At 35.2% G+C, this 9,313-nt stretch overlaps 1 annotated feature.

Annotated features, from left to right (window-relative positions):
• Positions 8,475-8,644: an enhancer, noted in NCBI's record as "experimental_93713 CRE fragment used in MPRA reporter constructs". NCBI's record gives its function as "activates a minimal promoter by MPRAs in K562 erythroleukemia cells, with activity observed for both the introgressed and non-introgressed 6:66561973 variant alleles {active_cell/tissue: K562}" and the evidence as "EXISTENCE:reporter gene assay evidence [ECO:0000049][PMID:34662402]".

The raw sequence follows: 9,313 nt of genomic DNA on the forward strand, positions 1-9,313 counted from the left end.
AAGTTAACATTTGGATTTGAAGAAATCTATCATAAAAATTAACTGTAATTTGGTCTAACATATGTTGGTCTCTAAGTATGTTTCAGAACAAAAATTACATGAAATACTAGAATTTCCTTAATGGAAATTCCAGTTAACAGTGTTCCAAATTGATAACTGAAATCAAAATTACAATATCATTGTGTTTCTTAATGCTTTTGATTGAGGAAAAAATGTGCATTGAATGTGGATGTAGATTATACTTCATCTTAAGTGGTAACTTGAATGAATTCAAGGCAGCCACTAAAAGCCTATATTAGAGATATGTCTGAAGAAGAATTCAGTCAGCCACATTAGAAACTACTCTGGGCAATCAGTGATGTTGCCCTCAGGGATTTCCCTGATGAAGCATAGATAACTATGCTTCATTTGTCCCTGGCACACTTTCTTCTGGTATCATTATTTTGCTACTACAAGAGATTACTAACAGAAAAATAATGATATACTCTATTTTATGTTTTATGCTTTTCTATATTAAACTACATGAAACATGTCTACGGATACGACCCCTTCTCCTCTAGGTGACACCTTTCTATCTAGTTCCCACTGAAATATCCAAAATAAATCTCTTTTGGCAGTGTCTTGATTCATTTAGTTGCTCTGATTGTGCTCATGTCATGTTTCTGTTGTTATTTTTCAGTACATACTTCGAAATTTTTATGTATTATTTAAAAAAAAAACCTCAGAAAGATAGATACAAAACCAGACAGCAGAGTATAATTAAAGCCCATGTACCTGTTGGCTAGTTTTAGCAATTATTAACTCATAAACAGTCTGATATGTTTATACTCTATCCCATTCTTTACTCCAAATTATTCTGGAGCAAATCCTAATTCCATGTGAAAAAAAAATAGTATCTACCTCTGAATGACAAAAACACTAACATTTTGAAATACAACCCTAATACCGTTATAACTTGTAAAAATTAAAAATATCATAGTATTAAATATCCAAATGAATGTTCAAATTAATAAATATCTTACAAATGTTGCATTTATAAGAGTTTTTAAAGGAAATCATAACCCAAATAAAGTTCATATTACAGTTGGTTGAACAGTATTATTAAAGCATTTTAAATTTATACATTTTTCCTCCATCTCTTACTTTTTGACTTTTTATAATTTATTTATTGTAGAAACCAAGTTACCCTTTCTATGGAGTTCACCAAAGTCTAAATTTTGGAAATTGTATCCCATGGTCAAGTTCACTTGTTTTTCTTTCCCCTGCATTTCCTGGAAATTAGCACTTATGTAGGGAGAATTAATCAAATTCAGATTCTATTCAGTAGGAAAGGGTAGAAAAATTACCTCCTAGGTATTGATTTTTCCACCAAAAGGCACATAATCATTCTGATATCTTTGTTGTGATGTTAGCATTTCTTGAAATACAATGCCTGAATCCATTAATTCATTAGAAGTTACAAAATGATGGAATTAAAATTCTATTATTCCTTCTTAATTGTTTGGCTAGGATTATTCTATACAGAAGAACTTTCTTTCATCAAATACTTGCATACCCAGTGACACAGTTTATATAAGAAAGGCAGGATGCACTAATAAAAATTTAATATATTTCAATACATTGCAGTATGATTCCTATTAATAGTCCTCCCTGGAAGGGTTCTGTGGATGCAGATACTGAAATGGGATTTGAAATGCAAAATATTGTTTAGCAATCAATAACTCTGAAGGAAAGTCAGAGAGCAGAATTGGGTGGCGGAAGAAGTAATCTCCACTGCAGATCCATCAAACCTCGCTCAACCCAGTGGGAAGCTTTGAAGCAAATATTATCTGTCAGAGTAGTCCCACATCATGACAAAATGGTTGGGTTTCTATACCCTCATCTCATCCAGGCATATCATGCAGGTTGCTCTGAGAAAGTCTATGTGACAATGGAGAAGGCATCTCTCTCCTGCTGGGAAGATTCAGGAGGAGCTGGCCAGTGGAAACTGCTAATTATGATCCTTGAAAAAGGACAGCAGTTCCTTTTTTGAAGGGTATGGGCAATTCTAATGCATTTTAACTGTTGAGCTACTATCTTTAAAGTTCAACTCTGTGGATTTTTTTTTTTTAATTGTCATGTGTCTATTACAGTTCCTTAAAACAAAGTTATCCCTGAAAAAGTCGGATAAGAAAAAGTAATACTAGCATGTTCTAAAGCGTTAGGAACAGGAGCAACTCTTGGTATGTACATTCTATTGTTCTATAATTCACTAGCTTCTCTGTTTACGTCTCTATGCTATTATGCTAATATGTCCTAACCCCTTGTTTAATTTCACGGATGTTATATCCTTCCTATTCTTTCTAGTAGAGGTCTTCTTATCTGAGAGTTTAGAAGTGAGGCACGCACATGTCAAAGTACTTTGTTATACATATTACCCAACAGTCTCACATCTTACCGCAGTTAAAATTTGTATTAAAAAAAAGAGCCTGGTTTATCCCTTTATGAATTGTTATATTCCTATAAATGTCAACCATGGCATTTTTACATTTTTTTATGGTAGCTTTTTTCATTACTCACAAATACGTACACACACATACACACACACACACACACACACACACATGCTTCTACTGTTTCCTCTTAACATTTCAAATGCTGTAAAAGTACATTTCCTGGAATCCTTTGATGCTGAGGTTCTGGATATTGGTTAAGTTCTGACAATTTGTTCTACTTTTAGGAGATTAGTGGGCCAAAAGTGGAACTGCTTTGTGTTTTTCCCCCTTGCTGGCAACCACAGTCTTTCTTTTCTTTAAGGAATGTTTCTAGTGTCCTGGTATCACCTCTATGGAGAGCAGGATGCAATTGTTAAGGGTTTTAGCAGCTTCCTGAATTCTGTATTGTTGGGTAGCCTTATATTTTCCCACCTTCCTGATTGTAGAGTGATGGGCAGCCAAATGGAAGGCCCATCCTAGAGTTTACTCCATCAGGCCTCCAATTATGGTTTGCCTATTAGATATACATCTCTCTCTCTCTTTTTCTTTTCTTTCTTTCTTTTTTTTTTGCTTTAAAAGAACTAGAATGTTTGTAGCTTCTGCAACTAAATTCTTACCTATGCTCAAACTGTTGTAAAATAGACAAAAATAGTTTCCTCTAAAAGAATATCAGATAGTGCATTATAGAAGACACCTATTATATTATATAGAAGCCAATGCACTTTAAATTGGATAATTTGACAAAGTATAGACAAATACTATCTACCAAGGATTTTAAAATACTTCTTTTGCATTCTGGCCTTGAGCATCACACTGTACTTAAATGTATTCTTTTACTTTATTTTTTTACATTTTTGGTTAGTGATAGTTCAATTTTTAAAAATTGATCTCAGAAAATTTTTGTATGAAACCCCAAATTCTCAGAGGTTCAGCGGTCCCTAATAATTAAGTTTGCACCATCACGATTTTCCAAAAAGTTTCAAAAGCATTAGAACATACATTCAAATTAATATATTGAATTAGCAAGACATATGTAAATATTTTAGATTTGAAAACACAAAAAATGTATATAGTGTATTATAGAAAACTTGATGTGCCACTCATAATATTTACTGTATGCCACCTCAACAGTATCATTCAGATACCCAGTCCCATTAACTTATCATACAAATGAATAATTGGAGAAGGAAAGGAATGGAATATAGATTGGTGTTGAAGTTAAAAAAAAATAAATAAATAAATAGAAATACATACGATAAACAAAACAGAATGATAGTAATATGTACGGCGTCCCAAGAAAGATTTTTAACTCAGTTTTGAGCATCTGAGGACTAGGAAAAAAATGAAACAAGCAATCACATTTTTGATACAATGCAAGGAACTTTTGGAATTTCAGTCATTAAAAGAAGTCATTTCACAAAAGATATTCACAATTTAGTCTAGAAGAGAGACACTAAAATCTGTTAGAAACACAGGACAGATTTAAATGGTGTCTTAGTCCATTTGCATTGCTATAAAATAATACTTGAGGCTGGGTAATTTATAAAGAAAAGAAGTTTATCTCATGGTTCCGCAGGCTGTACCAGAAGCATGGTGCCGGCATCTGCTTCCAGTGAGAGCCTCAGACTGTTTCTACTCATGATGGAAAGTGCAGGAGGGCCAACGCATGGTAAGAGAGGAAGGAAGAAAGAGAGAGGAAAGGGATAAACCAGGATCTTTTTTTTAAATACAAATTTTAATTTAAATAGATTTACGGGTACAGATGTTTTTGGTTACCTAGATAAATTATATCGTGTGAAGTCTGGGCTTTTAGTGTACCTATCATTTTAATAGTGTACATTATACACAATGGATAATTTTTCATCCCTTACCACTCTCATACCCTCTTCTGAGTCTTCAATGTCCATTACACCAATCCGTGTGCCCCTGTGTTACAGGAAAAGGGTCTGGATCCAGAACCCAACAGCGGGTTCTTGGTTCTCTTGCAAGAAAGAATTCAGGGCGAGTCCACAGTGCAAAGTGAACGCAAGTTTATTAAAAAAGTCAAGGAATTAAAAAAAAAATGGCTTCTCCATAGCCTCCCTTGGGGCTGCTGGTTGCCGATGTTTATGGTTATTTCTTCATGATATGCTAAATAAGGGGTGGATTATCCATGCCCCCTCTTTTTAGACCATAAAGGATAACTTCCTGATGTTGCCATGGCATTTGTAAACTGTCATGGCGCTGGTGGGAGTGTAGCAATGAGGACCACCAGAGGTCACTCTCATTTCCATTTTCGTTTTGGTGGGTTTTGGCCAGCTCCTTTACTGCAACCTGTTTTATCAGCAAGGACTTTATGACCTGTATTTTGTGCTGACCTCTTATCTCATCCTGTGACTTAGAATGCCTTAACCATCTGACAATGTGGCTCAGTAGATTTCAGCCTCATTTTACCCAGCTCCTATTTAAGATGGAGTTGCTCTGGTTCACACACCTCTGACACCTGTGTACCCATACCGTAGCTGCCACTTATAAGTGAGAATGTGTGGTATTTGGTTTTCCATTCCTATGTGACTTAACTTAGGAAAATGGCCTCCACTTCCATCCAAGTTGCTGCAAAATACACTATTTCCTTCTTTTTTATGGCTCAGTAGTGTACAAGTGCAGATGTCCTTTTGATATAATGAGTTTTTTCCTTTGGGTAGATACCCAGTGGTGAGATTGCTGGATCAAAGGGTAAATGTAATTTAATTCTTTGAGAAATCTCCATACTGTTTTCCAAAGAGATTGTGCTAATTTACATTCCCACCAATGTTGTATAAGCATTCCATTTTTACTGCACTATGCCAACACCTATTAATTTTTTTTTTTTTTACTTATTAATAATGGCCATTCTGACTGGGATAATATGGTGGTATCTCATTGCAGTTTTAATTTGCAGGATGTTTTGAACAATCAGATCTCTGGCGAGCTAATAGAGTCAGAGCTCCCTCATTACCATGAGAGAGAATGGCACTAAGCCATTCATGAAGGATGCAGTCCCATAACCCAAACCCCTCTCATTAGTCCCCATCTCAGATACCAGGGACCAAATTTCAGCATGATATCTGGAGGGGACAAATATGCAAACTATATCTAATTGGATATATAAAATATGTATGCAAATACTTCGAAGATAATAAGGGGGAATTAATCTAAATGTCAAAAGTAAAATCGCCTTTATCATTAAGATTTGCAGTTAGTTCAAAGTACATGGCTCCTGTCCTGTCTTCTGCTTTGCCTTTTTGTGAGCATTTATCCATTTATTTTTATCTCTTATCAGACTATCAGTATTTTGTGTAGCAGTAAGATGCCTTTCTAATTTCCCCTTACAAACTTGGGGGGTGTCACGTGCGTCCCTGTGAAGAGACCACCAAACAGGCTTTGTGTGAGCAACAAGGCTGTTTATTTCACCTGGGTGCAGGCGGGCTGAGTCCGAAAAGAGAGTCAGCAAAGGGTGGTGGGATTATCATTAGTTCTTATAGGTTTTGGGATAGGCGGTGGAGTCAGGACCAATGTTTTGTGGGCAGGGGGTAGATCTCACAAAGTACATTCTCAAGGGTGGGGAGAATTACAAAGAACATTCTTAAGGGTGGGGGAGATTACAAAGAACCTTCTTAAGGGTGGGGGAGATTACAAAGTACATTGATCAGTTACGGTGGGGCAGAAACAAATCACAATGGTGGAATGTCATCAGTTACGGCTATTTTCACTTCTTTTGTGGATCTTCAGTTGCTTCCGGCCATCTGGATGTATACCTGCAGGTCACAGGGGATATGATGGTTTAGCTTGGGCTCAGAGGCCTGATGGGGTGGAATAACAATATAACATCTTTTAAAAAATAATTTTTAATTTTTATATTTTAAAATTGACAAAACTGTGTATATTTACCATACACAGCATGATGTTTTGAAGTATGTATAAATTGTGGAATGATTAAATCTAGCTAATCCACATATACATTACCTGACAGATTTATCATTTTTGTGGTGAGAACACTTATATCCACTCTCTTAACATTTTTCAAGAGTCTTAAAAGACCCTACTTACCATTACCATTTTTTAAATTTAATTTGAATATAGAAACCTGTAAAACAAAATGTTTTTCTTGCCAAACCATGTATATTGAATTACTTTTATATCCTATGATTTAAAACATTTGAAGGCAAAAAAAAAAAAAAACACTTCCATGTATCAGCTAATATTTTTAAAGGCTATAGTACCTCATATACAATATTAATCACGTAAAAAAGCTAAGATGCATAAAATAAGAAAACATTAGTGTTTAATATATGTGTATTTGTTTACTTCCTAGCTTGTTTTGTTTTGAGACGGAGTCTCACTCTGTCACCCAGACCGGAGTGCAGTGGCGCAATCTCAGCTCACTGGAACCTCCGCCTTCCGGGTTCACGCCATTCTCCTGCCTCAGCCTCCGGAGTAGCTGGGACTACAGGCGCCCGCCACCAAGCCCGGCTAATTTTTTGTATTTTTCAGTAGAGACGGGGTTTCACCATGCTAGCCAGTATGGTCTCAATCTCCTGACCTTGTGATCTGCCCACCTCGGCCTCCCAAAGTGCTGGGATTACAGGCCTGAGCCGCTGCGCCTAGCCTACTCTCTAGTTTCAACTATACAAACCCCAAGAGATTTCTGACAAAAGAATGTCTTAAGTCTATTTCTTTCTAAGTGAGAATGGAGGGGAATGCATGCCTGTTTACAAATCTACAGCCATTTTATTGCACACTGCATGTAATGCATTGTGTAGGTTCTTGTTTAAAATTATTCTTCTGACTTCACTAAATAATAATTGTTTGAAATTACATTAGAAAATATTCAACTTCCCTTGCAATTCTTAGCAGTATTTAGTACATAATTCTATTTTCCTAAATCTAGTTACTCTGAGCTAAGAAAGTATAGGAAGCTCTGGTTGTTATAGCCAGTGGGCAGGGAGTGACATTTGCTAAAGCAACACATAACAAACTGAATTCAGTGACTTCTAAAGAGATGGGTGCTTCTCTCTCTCACAAAGTGGCAGAGAGATGTGTAAAACCCCTTCTCCATAGCACAGAAGCACAGACCAAAGACTGGAAGATGAAATCCATTGATTAACACAGGTAAAATGCAGAAGAATGGAAGTCATTCTGGATAGAATGGGCTTATATCAGGAATACCTACAAAAACAGTAAAAGAATGAATATATTCCAGATTTGAATGTACCTTTATGTTAGTATATTGAGAAGATTTGCACAGACTAAACATTTTCTTCAATAGGTATGAAACTGCAGATTTAAAAGTCAATCCAACTAACCCATTCTGCATAAAACATGGAGCATATAAAGGGAAGAATTATGTCCAGAATCACTATATTTTCTATTTAAATAACTTTAGGCAAGGGTATCTGTAATTACTAAAATCTGGAAGAAAATAGCTGAAGTAAATGTACAGTATTTACAATTTTATACATACACAAAACTGTGCCTTTACATCCCTGAAGGCATAATTAACAACCAGAAACACAAAACTCACCATTGCTTTTCTTCTCTACTACAGCGAAGGACACCATCTTTTTCATAGACAAAGAGTAATTCACTTTCCAACTCACCAATCTACATATATTACACCTTTAGACAAAATATGTAATTTTAAAAATCCCTGTTGGCATAGGTTTATAAACTATGGTCAATTTAAACCAATTAAAGGCTTTAAGTGGTCCTATTTTCCAAATATAACGTATAAAACTGAATCAGAAACAAAGGGTCATTTTAACAATGTGTAAAAATTGAAATATAAATTTTAAAAAATCTTAATTACCAAAAAAGCAAATAATCACATGTATTTAGAGATGTCTCCTACCCTATTTGGATTTCTGTTATTTATTTTTATTCACTGTTGTCACTGCCATCAATTTTGTCATTGCCATCATCATTATCACTATCACCATCTAATATTTTACTGTACTCTTCTTGTGAAATCAGCACTGAGACAGGCACTTTGTTAAACATTGAGTCATGAAATCTTCCCAACCACCTGCAAGTTATTATTTCCAAGGTAAAAAAAAGAAAAATAACACATGTAAAATGTAGATAGTTTGCGAATGCAATAAAACACCTTGGATTTAAATTGAGGTTTTTAAAATTCATATCAAATTGCTTTCTACTGCACCATGCTGATCTCTAAGACTACTTAGAGTTCTAAAGATATGTAACATGTTGAAATTAAATTTGGTGTGTTTGTCTTCATCAAATTTTAATTGCGCCTATGCCATCGGCATTCTCTTTTTCTCATTTTTGACTTTTTGTTATTCCATGCTATCTTGTACTTTAATATTGCCTTCCATCTTCTCTGACTTAATGATTGATAGAAAAGCCTTAAAAAGGTGTAGTTTTTAATATTTTGCCATCTCTCTAAATGATGTAAAGTCTTCAGCAAATGATTTAAACTTTTAAGCTTTAGTTTACTCATAATTAAAATACTGTCTATTCTGTGCTCCTCAGAGTGACCACAATTCCCTCGCTTTTCATTGGAGTGACAGTGTTGATAGGGAAAACCTGAAGGAATTATGAGGATATTTCTGTTTTCAATCATAGCACCATACCTTCTTATGAAATGTACTTTTTTCCTCAAGCTGTCAACACCCCATGTCAGCCTCCTTCCTGATGTGTTAGCATGAAAAGATAATGGAAATATAGAAGCCATGTTTATCAATCATTGACTAGATGCCTTATGGGAGATGCAGCTGTGATTGCCCTTTGGTGGTACTAATGAAGTTGTGAATAGCAAAGAAAATGTATATGTGAAAAGAGTTTACAAATAAAACGACTAC

This window comes from Homo sapiens, chromosome 6 (assembly GCF_000001405.40).
Source record: "Homo sapiens chromosome 6, GRCh38.p14 Primary Assembly".
In the NCBI taxonomy this organism is placed as follows: Eukaryota; Metazoa; Chordata; class Mammalia; order Primates; family Hominidae; genus Homo; species Homo sapiens.